Source organism: Homo sapiens, chromosome 2, assembly GCF_000001405.40.
Source record: "Homo sapiens chromosome 2, GRCh38.p14 Primary Assembly".
Lineage (NCBI taxonomy): Eukaryota > Metazoa > Chordata > Mammalia > Primates > Hominidae > Homo > Homo sapiens.
In genome coordinates, this window is record NC_000002.12 from 48,700,796 (window position 1) to 48,712,954 (window position 12,159).

A 12,159-nucleotide genomic window follows, 5' to 3' on the forward strand; every position below is an offset into this window, starting at 1 on the left:
CAAGGTAGTGGAAGTCATAAGTAAACAGAAGTTATGGGGTTGAGTGGATATTAGAGGGAGTTAGGATTGACAACGACAGAAGTTAGGAAGCAGAAAGATCTAGGAATTTTAGTGGTGGGAGTTAGGAAGTAGAGTCAGAAGTCGATAGTGGCAGGACTTACGAAGTAGACAGAGTGAGAACTGGACAGTGGCAGGAGCTAGGAAATAGGTGAAGTCAGGAGTTGACAGTGGGAGCTAGGAACTAGCACAGTCAGGGCTCAACAGTGGCAGGAATGGGAAGTAGAGAGTCAAAAGTGGATAGCAGGAAGGAGTTAGGAAATAGAGAGTGAGGGGCTGAGGGGCAGGAGCTAGGAAGTAGACAGACTTTGGGTTTTATAATGGTGGAAACAGAAATTAGACAGAGCCATGAGTTGATCTTGGCGGGATCTACAGTACGAAGAATAACAAGGACAGCTCATTTCCTTCCCTTGCTCAAAACCCCAAAGCCTCCCCATCTCATTAAAAAAAGACAAAGTCTATATAAGTGACCACAGGCCCCGCCATGATCCAGCTCTCTGCCACGTCTCTGTCCTTATATTCTGTGATTCCCTTCTTTGCTCCCTCTGCCATATTGGCCTCCTTGCTGTTCTTCAAATACACAAGGCAAGATTCTGTCTCAGGCCTTTGCTTTTGCTGTTCCCCCTCCTGGAACACTTTTCCTGCAGATAATCACGTAACTTGCTCTCTTAGTTCCTTTAGGTGTTCGTTCAAACGACACTTTTTCAGGATAGTCTTCCCTCACCATCCCCTTTAAAATAGTAATTCCCCCTCTCCAGAACTCCTTTCCCCCCAACCAAATGAGTTTTCTCCTCTACAACCAATAGCATTTGGACAACTACATATTTTATTTACTTATTCAATCCTTGTCTGTCTTCCCCATCCTATGAAGGCAGAAGTGTTTGTCTCTTCTTATTCTCTGCCATTTCCCTGATGCCTAATCCAGTGACTACCACATAGTATGGGTTCATAAGAGTTAGTGAATAAACGGATGAATAAACAAACAAATGAACTGGGTTACCCTGCTCACCATTTTTCTAGAACTTTTCTCATTGTAAAATGACATGCCTGTTTATTGCTTTGCGTTTGTTGTTGTCTCCCTTATGTGACTGTCATCTCACTAAGGGCAAGGACCAGGGCTATTTTACTTACTACTGTCTGTTCACCACGGTGCCTGGTACACAGGATAGGTTCAATCAATGTTTGTTGAATAAATAACATCTGCTAGAGTAGGGTGTCGTGGACTGCCACCTCTATGATGGGATAACTGGTCGCCGTGTGTGAGAGCAGCACAGTATCTGGAACTCTGTTGCATTTCTCCCTGAAGCCTGACTGCAGCTTCAGCTCTCTGCAGGATGTTGGATGTTTCATGTTGGATGTTTCAGGCTTTGTCAGATTCAATGTTCTATTCCTCCTAACTTTCTCATGTATCTTTTTTTTTTTTTTAAATACTTTAAGTTCTAGGGTACATGTGCAAAACGTGCAGGTTTGTTACATAGGTATACATATGCCACGTTGGTTTGCTGCACCCATCAACTTGTCATTTACATTAGGTATTTCTGCTAATGCTATCCCTCCCCCAGCTGCCCACCCGCCGACAGGCCCTGGTGTGTGATGTTCCCCCTCCGTGTCGATGTGTTCTCATTGATCAACTCCCACTTATGAGTGAGAACATGCGGTGTTTAGTTTTCTGTCCTTGTGATAGTTTGTTGAGAATGATGCTTTCCAGCTTCATCCATGTCCCTGCAAAGGACATGAACTTATCCTTTTTTATGGCTGCATAGTATTTCATGGTGTATATGTGCCACATTTTCTTTATCCAGTCTATTATTGATGGACATTTGGGTTGGTTCCAAGTCTTTGCTATTGTGAATAGTGCCGCAATAAACATACGTGTGCATGTGTCTTTATAGCAGCATGATCCTTTAATAGTACAATCCTTTGGGTATATACCCAGTAATGGGATCGCTCGGTCAAATGGTATTTCTAGTTCTAGATCCTTGAGGAATCACCACACTGTCCTCCACAATGATTGAACTAATTTACAGTCCCACCAACAGTGTAAAAGTGTTCCTATTCCTCCACATCCTCTCCAGCATCTGTTGTGTCCTGACTTTTTAATGATTGCCATTCTAACTGGCATGAGATGGTATCTCATTGTGGTTTTGATTTGCATTTCTCTCATGACCAGTGATGATGAGGATTTTTTCACAGGTCTGTTGGCTGAACAAATGTCTTCTTTTGAGAAGTGTCTGTTCATATCCTTCGCCCATTTTTTGATGGGTTTGTTTGTGTTTTTCTTGTAAATTTGTTTAAGTTCTTTGTAGATTCTGGATATTAGCCCTTTGTCAAGATGGATAGATTACAAAAATTTTCTCCCATTCTCTAGGTTGCCTGTTTACTCTGCTGATAGTTTCTTTTGCTGTGCAGAAGCTCTTTAGTTTAATTAGATCTCATTTGTCAATTTTGGCTTTTGTTGCCATTGCTTTTGGTGTTTTAGTCATGTAGTCTTTGCCCATGCCTATGTCCTGAACGGTAATGCCTAGGTTTTCTTCTAGGTTTTTATGTTTTTAGGTCTTACATTTAAGTCTTTAATCCATCTTGAGTTAATTTTTGTATAAGGGTTTAAGGAAGGGATCCAGTTTCAGCTTTCTGCATATGGCTAGCGAGTTTTCCTGACACCATTTATTAAATGGGGAATGCCATTTGTTTGTGTCCTCTTTTATTTTGTTGAGCAGTGGTTTGTAGTTCTCCTTGAAGAGGTCCTTCATATCCTTTGTAAGCTGGATTCCCAGGTATTTTATTCTCTTTGTAGTAATTGTGAATGGGAGTTCACTCATGATTTGGCTCTCCGTTAATTTCTTATTGGTGAATAGGAATGCTTGCGATTTTTGCACATTGATCTTGTATCCCAAGACTTCGCTGAAGTTGCTTATCAGCTTAAGGAGATTTTGGGCGGAGACGATAGGGTTTTCTAAATATACAATGATGTCATCTGCAAACAGAGACAATTTGACTTCCTCTTTTCCTAAATGAATACCCTTTATTTCCTTCTCTCGCCTGATTGCCCTGGCCAGAACTTCCAATACTATGTTGAATAGGAGTGGTGAGAGAGGGCATCCTTGTCTTGTGCCAGTTTTCAAAGGGAATGCTTCCAGTTTTTGCCCATTTGGTATGATATTGGCTGTGGGTTTGTCATAGATAGCTCTTATTATTTTGAGATACATTCCATAAATACCTAGTTTATTGAGTGTTTTTAGCATGAAGCACTGTTGAATTTTGTCGAAGGCCTTTTCTGCATCTATTGAGATAATCATGTGTTTTTTTGTCATTGGTTCTGTTTATGTGATGGATTACATTTATTGATTTGCATATGTTGAACCAGCGTTGCATCCCAGGGATGAAGCCGACTTGATTGTGGTGGATAAGCTTTTTCATGTGCTGCTGGATTTGGTTTGCCAGTATTTTATGGAGGATTTTCGCATCGATGTTCATCAGGGATATTGGCTTAAAATTCCCTCTTTTTGTGGTGTACTCTGCCAGGTTTAGTATCAGGATGATGCTGGCCTCATAGAATGAGTTAGGGAGGATTCCCTCTCTTTCTATTGATTGGAATAGTTTCAGAAGGAATGGTACCAGCTCCTCTTTGTACCTCTGGTAGAATTCAGCTGTGAATCTGCCTGGTCCTGGACTCTTTTTGGTTGGTAGGCTATTAACTATTGCCTCAATTTCAGGACCTGTTATTGGTCTATTCAGAGATTTGACTTCTTCCTGGTTTAGTCTTGGGAGGGTGTATGTGTCCAGGAATTTATCCATTTCTTCTAGATTTTCTAGTTTATTTGCATAGAGGTGTTTATAGTATTCTCTGATGGTAGTTTGTATTTCTGTGGGATCAGTGGTAATATCCCCTTTATCATTTTTTATTGCGTCTATTTGATTCTTCTCTCTTTTCTTCTTTATTAGTCTTGCTAGCAGTGTATCTATTTTGTTAATCTATTCAAAAAACCAGCTCCTGGATTCATTGATTTTTTGAAGGGTTTTTTGTCTCTCTATCTCCTTCAGTTCTGCTCTGATCCTAGTTATTTCTTGCCTTCTGCTAGCTTTTGAATGTGTTTGCTCTTGCTTCTCTAGTTCTTTTAATTGTGATGTTAGGGTGTCAATTTTAGATCTTTCCTGCCTTTCCTTGTGGGCATTTAGTGCTATAAATTTCCCTCTACATACTGCTTTAAATGTGTCCCAGAGATTCTGGTACATTATGTCTTTGTTCTCATTGGTTTCAAAGAACATTTTTATTTTTGCCTTCATTTCGTTATGTACCCAGTAGTCATTCAGGAGCAGGTTGTTCAGTTTCTATGTAGTTGTGCGGTTTTGAGTGAGTTTCTTAATCCTGAGTTCTAATTTGATGGCACTGTGGTCTGAGAGACAGTTTGTTGTGATTTCTGTTCTTTTACATTTGGTGAGGAGTGTTTTATTTCCAATTATGTGGTCAGTTTTAGAATAAATGCGATATGGTGCTGAGAAGAATGTATATTCTGCTGATTTGGGGTGGAGAGTTCTGTAGATGTCTATTAGGTCTTCTTGGTCCATAGCTGAGTTCAAGTCCTGGATATCCTTGTTAATTTTGTGTCTCATTGATCTGCCTAGTATTGACAGTTGGATGTTAAAGTCTCCCATTATTATTGTGTGGGAGTCTAAGTCTCTTCGTAGTTCTCTAAGAACTGGCTTTATGAATCTGGATGCTCCTGTGTTGGGTGCATATATATTTAGGAGAGTTAGCTCTTCTTATTGAATTGATCCCTTTACCATTATGTAATGGCCTTCTTTGTCTCTTTTGATCTTTGTTGGTTTAAAGTCTATTTTATCAGAGACTAGGATTGCAATCCCTGCTTTTTTTTTTTGCTTTCCCTTTGCTTGGTAGATCATCCTCCAGCCCTTTAGTTTGAGCCTATGTGTGTCTTTGCATGTGAGATGGGTCTCCTGAATACAGCACACTGATGGGTCTTGACTCGTTATCCAATTTTCCAGTCTGTGTCTTTTATTTGGGGCATTTAGCCCGTTTACATTTAAGATTAATATTGTTATGTGTGAATTTGATTCTGTCATTATGATGCTAGCTGGTTATTTTGCCTGTTAGTTGATGCAGTTTCTTCATAGCATTGATGGCCTTTACAATTTGGTATGTTTTTGCAGTGGCTGGCACTGGTTGTTCCTTTCCATGTTTAGTGCTTCCTTTAGGAGGTCTTGTATGGCAGGCCTGGTGGTGACAAAATCTCTCAGCATTTGCTTGTCTGTAAAGGATTTTATTTCTCCTTCACTTAAGAAGCTTAATTTGGCTGGATATGAAATTCTGTGTTGAAAATTCTTTTCTTTAAGAATGTTGAATATTGGCCCCCACTCTCTTCTGGCTTGTAGGGTTTCTGCTGACAGATCAGCTGTTAGTCTGGTGGGCTTCCCTCTGTGGGTAACCCAACCCTTCTCTCTGGCTGCCCTTAACATTTTTTCCTTCATTTCAACCTTGGTGAATCTGACAGTTATGTGTCTTGGGATGGCTCCTCTGGAGGAGTATCTTTGTGGTGTTCTCTGTATTTCCTGAATTTGAATGTTGGCCTGCCTTGCTAGGTTGGGGAAGTTCTGGATAATATTCAGGAGTGTTTTCTAACTTGGTTCCATTCTCCCCATCACTTTCAGGTACACCAATCAAACGTAGATATGGTCTTTTAACATAGTCCCATATTTCTTGAGACCTTGTTCGTTTGTTTTCACTTTTTTTTCTCTAATCTTGTCTTCTTGCTTTATTTCATTAATTTGATCTTCAATGACTGATATCATTTCTTCCACTTGATCTAATTGGCTATTGAAGCTTGTGTATGCTTCACGAAGTTCTCATGCTGTGTTTTTCAGCTCCGTCACGTCATTTATGTTCTTTTCTACACTGATTTTTCTAGTTAGCCATTCGCCTAACCTTTTTTCATGGTTTTTTAGCTTCCTTGTGATGGGTTAGAACATGCTCCTTTGGCTTGGAGAAGTTTGTTATTACCCACCTTCTGAAGCCTACTTCTGTCAGCTCATCAAACTCATTCTCCGACCAGTTTTGTTCCCTTGCTGGTGAGGAGTGGTGATCCTTTGGAGGAGAAGCGATGTTCTGGTTTTTGGAATTTTCAGCCTTTCTGCTCTGGTTTCTCCCCATCTTTGTGGTTTTATCTACCTTTGGTCATTGGTGTTGGTGAGCTACAGATGGGGTTTTGGTATGGATGCCCTTTTTGTTGATGTTGATGCTATTCCTTTCTGTTTGTGAGTTTTCCTTCTAACAGTCAGGCCCGTCAGCTGCAGGTCTGTTGGAGTTTGCTGGAGATCCACTCCGGACTCTGTTTGCCTGGATATCACCAGCAGAGGCTGCAGGACAGCAAGTATTGCTGACTGATCCTTCCTCTTGAAGCTTTGTTCCAGAGGGGCACCTGCCAGATGCTGGCCAGAGCTCTCCTGTGTGAGGTGGTTGTCAGCCCCTACTGGGATGCGTCTCCCAGTCAAGCTACATGGGGGTCAGGGACCCCTTGAGGAGGCAGTCTGTCTGTTATCAGAGCTTGAACACTGTGCTGGGAGAACCACTGCTCTCTTCAGAGCTGTCAGGCAGGGACGTTTAAGTCTGCAGAAGTTGTGCCCACAGCTGCCCCTTCCCCTAGGTGCTCTGTCCCAGAGAGATGAGGGTTTTCTCTGTAATTCCCTGACTGTGGCTGCTGCCTTTGTTCAGATATGTCCTGCCCACAGAGGTGGAATTTAGAGAGGCAGTCAGCCTTGCTGAGCTGTATTGGGCTCCGCCCAGTTCGAACTTCCTGGCAGCTTTGTTTACACAGTGTGCATAAAACCACCTACTCAAGCCTCAGCAATGGCGGATGTCCCTTCCAGCATCTCAGGTCTATCTTAGACTGCTCTACTAGCAGCAAGAACTTCAAGCCAATGGATCTTAGCTTGCTGGGCTCTGTGAGCATGGGACCCAGCGAGCCAGGCACGGGAGGGAATCTCCTGGTCTGCTGGTTGTGAAGACCATGGGAAAAGCACAGTATTTGGTCAGGAGTGTATCGTTCCTCCAGGTACAGTCTCTCACAGCTTCCCTTGCCTAGGAAAGGGAAATCCCTGGACCCCTTGTGCTCCCTGGGTGAGGTGACGCCCTGCCCTGCTTCAGCTGGCCCTCTGTGGGCTGTACCCACTGTCCAGCCAGTCCCAATGAGATGAACCAGGTACCTCAGTTGGAAATGCAGAAATCACCCGTCTTCTGCATCGATCTCGCTGAGAGCTGCAGACTGGATCTGTTCCTATTCGGCCGTCTTGGAAACAATTTCCCATGTATCCTTTAAAACCCCTTTAACTGAGAGAGCCTGGCCCTAATCCTTGCACCCTCAGAGAGTCTGACAGCAGCTCAGCCCCGTCCAACCAAGTGCCAGGGGCATGCCAGATCTTTGGCCTTAGATTCCCATGAGTGGATTCCAGGTGGGTAGCCAGCCTCTTTGCCAGCACATGAGGCCACCCCTCATATTTGGTGTTAGGGGTTGAATTGTATCCTCCAGCTAAAATTCATATCTTGACGTTCCCAGTACCTCAGACCTTATTTAGAGATAGGGTCTTTACAGAGGTAATGAAGTTAAAATGAGTTTATTAGGGTGGGCTCTAATCCAATATGACTGCTATTCTTATTAAAAGGGGCAATTTGGAGATACCCACCCACACACACACACACACACACACATGCACACACATACACAATGTACCATGTGAAGACTGGAATTATGCTGCCACAACCAGAAAGAACTAGCACAAGCTAGGAGAGGCCTGGAATAGATGCTTTCTTCACAGCCCTCAGAGGGAGCCAACCCCTGCTGACACCTTGATTTTGGACATCTAGCTTCCAGAACCATAAGACAAAATTTCTGTTGTCTAAGCCTCTCGGTTTGGGGTACTTTATTATGGCAGCTGTGATACACTTTGTCTTTCCAACAGCAGCCTTTTCAGGTGTAGAGGCTGATGTCTCACATATCAGCTTGGGGATGATGTGGAGGGACACCCTAAGCAGTCCTGTTGGGGTACACTGGGCAGGGAGGGGAGGCAGCACCATTCTACTCACAAGGTTTTCGGCCCTGTGGCCCCACGGAAGGCTCCATTGTGCATCTTCTCCAGATGTACGTTTTCCTTTAGCTCCCTGTGGGGAAGGATATTGCCCTTAGTGGAGTTTGTACCTCATGTGTAAGCATTCGTAGCTCCATATACACATGTTTAGACCAAGCTATGTGCATGATGTATAGGGTTAAAAGGGGGAAAAAGGGTAAGTGGAGGGAAAGTGGGAAAAAGACAAGCTAGTTCTTAATGAAATTATGAAATTACTGGCATGTGTGTTGGCCACACCTTTTTTCTTCCATTCCCCCCTTCACTTGGTAGAACTCTGTCCTACAGCTTAAAGTACTCACCCCCTCCTGTCCTGGAGTTATGAAAGTTTACCACCAGACAGCTGGATAAGGATGAGATTGCTGCTCCAAGAGGCCAAGACTGAACGGCTGAAGTGCAGCCTACTCTTTGTTAGCCTCTCAGTCATTGTGACCGTGGAGGTCTCAGAGTGTGCTAATAGTAATTTATTGAAGTTTGCAAATACTTGAAAAAGTAGGGTCCATTCAAAGTTATCCCTTTTGTAGTGTAATTTGCATTCTTTTTCTTTCAGATATGCATTTCTCTGTGGGTGAGAAAGAGGAGGACTTACAGCCTCTGTAGAAAATTGCCCCATGGGGCTGTGCAGTGTAAATGATCATCGCCAGGTGTATGTGTGTGTCATGGAAAAAGTGTTGAGGGCCTCTACTCTCAAGGCTGTGGAAGAAGCCAAAAGCTGTTATGGAAGTAGCTCCCTGAGGGCTCTGCTGCCTTGAGCTCAAAGTCATTCAGGCTAAACTCCTTAGGAGCAGCACAATCTGGTCCTCCTAGGCAGCCTCCTTTCTGGGCCCTGACACTGGTATCTCTAAGCACAGGCCCTTCTTTGAGTAGTCGAGGGAGCTAGAAGAGGAATCCCTGGGCTCAAGTCTGCCAGCCTTCTTTTGAGCACTTCCTCTCTATAAGAGAATGGTTGTGATTCAGAGCATCTGGAAAACCGTGGATGGTGGGAACAGTGTGCATCTACCGTTGATGTGATGATTTCAAGCGTGGGAACATGATTCTCTTACCACATTACAGTGTACACAGCAAAACAAACATACTAACACCCATTCCCCGCCTTCATTGCTGTTTAAGAACTGCAAAAACCCCTGCATCTCACTCTGGGTGGCTGTTTTCCACATTTCTACTAAGCATTTTCTTTGGAAACCCTCAGCCCTTTCATCAGAATCCACCTGTCAATCTCACATCGTCCCATCCCCTGGGTATATTTCTACTTTCAAAGAGATGAGATTGTCAGAATCAACTGCTGTTTAAAATATAAATCAAAAGAAATTTTTCTTCCTAAACCTCCATGGCTCTTCTTCCTGATTCCGTTTGTTTTAATTATGTTCAGTTATAGTTATAAATCATTGAAACTGGGCTCTGTGAGCAAATTATTCTTGTGTCAGCCCAGTCAGATTAATTGTTCAAATTTCGTGACAGAGCATTTCACACGTTTTATTAAAACTCAGATCTTTCTGTATACTGATAACTCTGTATTATGCAACTTGGTCAAAAAATAAATCAATTTCCCACATTTTCCTGGGGGTCACTTTTGAGAATTCTCCCAATGATGTGACCTTGCGGTGTGAGAAGCACAGGCAGGATGACCTTTTGAAGCACAGGGGAAGAACCCACAAGCTCCGCCAAAGTTTTCCCAGCTTGGGTGCTCTGGGAACAGTATGGACTGACTCCTAGACCCCTCAGGTGCCTCAGGGCCACCTTCTGCGGCTGCCCCTGTCTTTCCTGTGCTGCCTTAGTAAGTCAGGTGTTTGCGAACTTTGCAGGACTTCAGTATCGTTGTGTTCTGAACAACTTTGGACAGGTCTATTTATGAGGAAGGGTTGAATGTATCGTTTGAAAATTTTGCTTGACAGTTTTGAAAACTGCTCCTCCCCTGCTACTTAAACTCTTTAATGGGTGACCTTGCCCTTAGAAGAGAATTCAGACTCCTTTCCCATGGCTGCTCAGTCCTGCTCCATCTCCTTCATCTCCAGTCTCCCCCTTGCTAAAGACCCTCCAGCCACACTGGCCTCCCCTCAATTCCTGGGACTTACCAACTTAGTTCCTTTTCCAGCTCAGGACCTTTGCATATCTGCTCCCTCTTTCTGTAACGTGCTTCCCTCACTGTTGACACAGTGGAATCCTTGTCATCCTTCAGGCTCAGCCTAAATATCACGTCCTCAGTGAGGCCATCCTGGATACCTTGCCTAAATCGTTCACCCCTCATACTCTCTCAGATCTCAGTAACAGGTTATTTCCTTCATAGTATATATTACCCTTGTAATAATTTTATCTGTTATTTGCTTTTTTTTGTCTGTCTTTTCTGATAGAACAGAAACTACATAAGGGCAGGGACTGTGACCTCTCTACCATTGCAGACTCAGTACCTAACACGGTGCTTAGTATATCAGTGGTGCTTAATAAATGTTTGTTGAATGAAATTAAGTTTGTTCTTGGCAAACTGACTCATGTTCTTGATTTCCTCTTTCTTGCAACAGTGAGATACAGGGTATACAGGACGTTGACTAATTGAACTTTTCATAGTTCACGTCCATTTTGGCATCTCTGTAACAGCTGATATGCTGCTGACCATCTGAAATCTTCCCTCCTAAATTTCTGTTTTTCCTGACCTCACACAGACATACTGTGTTGGTTTTTCTCCCGTCTGTTTTATTTTGCTCTTGCTTCTCTTGCTCATCTTGTTTCCCTTTAATTTAATATTCAGTTCTTTTATTTTTCCCCCTGTTCAGGTGACCTCAGCCACACAGGACTTCAGCTATCCCCTCTATTCAGATGATCCTGGCATTTGTGTCTCTAGCCCTGCCCTACCCCTTCCAGCCTTCCGTCCTTCCTGCTAACAGATGAACCTTCTTTAAGCACTCATCTCATACTTCCATCTCAGAACTTTCAATGGCTTCTCATTTTCTGGAGAAGAGAGTCTAAACTCTTTACTATGGCATCTAAGGCCCTTCCTGTTTTGTCCCTAACTCGTATCTAGAAAGTACTATCTGCTGGTCTATGAACACATCTTATAATTCCTCCTCTGGACCATTCTTCTGGCTGTCCTCTGCTTGGAAGGCATTTTTCCTCTCTTTTTGCCTAAGTTATGCCCAGCTCAAAGCCCACCTTTCTCAGAGGCTTTCTATACTTTCTTTTCCTGCTGCCTTTGAAATCCCAGAGGACTTTACCTCTCTCTGGGGAGGCTTCATGCTTTGCCTTCTGTTTTAGTTAGTAGTCAATGTGCAGTTTATACACTATTTGGAGATGCTTCTTCCTATGCTGTAAGCTCCTGTAGGGCGACACTAGGACTTAATCATCTTCATTCCCCCTCAAAATACAGCATGTTTCTTCAAACACAGCTGATGCTTGGTAAACATTTGTAGAGTGAATAATGGAATGAGGCATCTGAGAGAACTGTGCCAGGAGATGATATAAATGCCTCTGATTTAAGTTTGTCAGAAATCGATTTAATTGGCCAGAGTGAACACTTCATTAACTTAAGGGTTTTTGTTAATGAACCTTTCATTAAGTCATCAAGTCAAAAAGAACATGAGAGCAAATTCACCCCATGATAGGAGAACAACTTAAAAAATTCTACAATTTCTTGAACACTTAGTATGTGCAACTATGCTGTGCTAAGCACACAAAAGTATAATCTTGTTGAATTGTTTACTTATAATTAATTATATTATATATTATATAATAAATAAGCACCTACTCTATGCCAGGCACAGCGTTAAGTACTGAGGATATGACATTTTCAAAACAAGCCTATTATTGGATCCATTTTATGAATGAAGACACTGTGGCTTAGATCGGTTAAGTAACTTGCTTAAGGTCATACCAGCTGTTAAATAGTGGGACTGGAGTTTGAGTCCCACTCACTCTGAAGTCTATTCTTTTAGCCACCAAACGATATAGCACATATCAATATAATAGAGGCTTTGGTTA

The 12,159-nt window shown here is 42.7% G+C and overlaps 2 protein-coding genes across 6 annotated transcripts in view, besides 1 other annotated feature; one reads left to right on the plus strand and one right to left on the minus strand.

Annotated features, from left to right (window-relative positions):
- STON1-GTF2A1L (STON1-GTF2A1L readthrough) overlaps positions 1–12,159 on the plus strand; it is a 246,595-nt gene that overhangs the window by 170,871 nt on the left and 63,565 nt on the right. The window lies entirely within an intron of this gene.
- LHCGR (luteinizing hormone/choriogonadotropin receptor) overlaps positions 1–12,159 on the minus strand; it is a 68,951-nt gene that overhangs the window by 14,022 nt on the left and 42,770 nt on the right. For all 5 annotated transcript variants that reach the window (XM_047444293.1, XM_047444291.1, XM_047444292.1 and 2 more), the window contains one exon: positions 8,153–8,227. In XM_047444293.1, coding sequence (XP_047300249.1) covers positions 8,153–8,227 — 75 coding nt within the window. The remainder of the gene's footprint in view (positions 1–8,152; positions 8,228–12,159) is intronic.
- Positions 6,848–6,937: an enhancer, noted in NCBI's record as "active region_15747". NCBI's record gives its function as "activates an Ori minimal core promoter by ATAC-STARR-seq in GM12878 lymphoblastoid cells {active_cell/tissue: GM12878}" and the evidence as "EXISTENCE:reporter gene assay evidence [ECO:0000049][PMID:35858748]".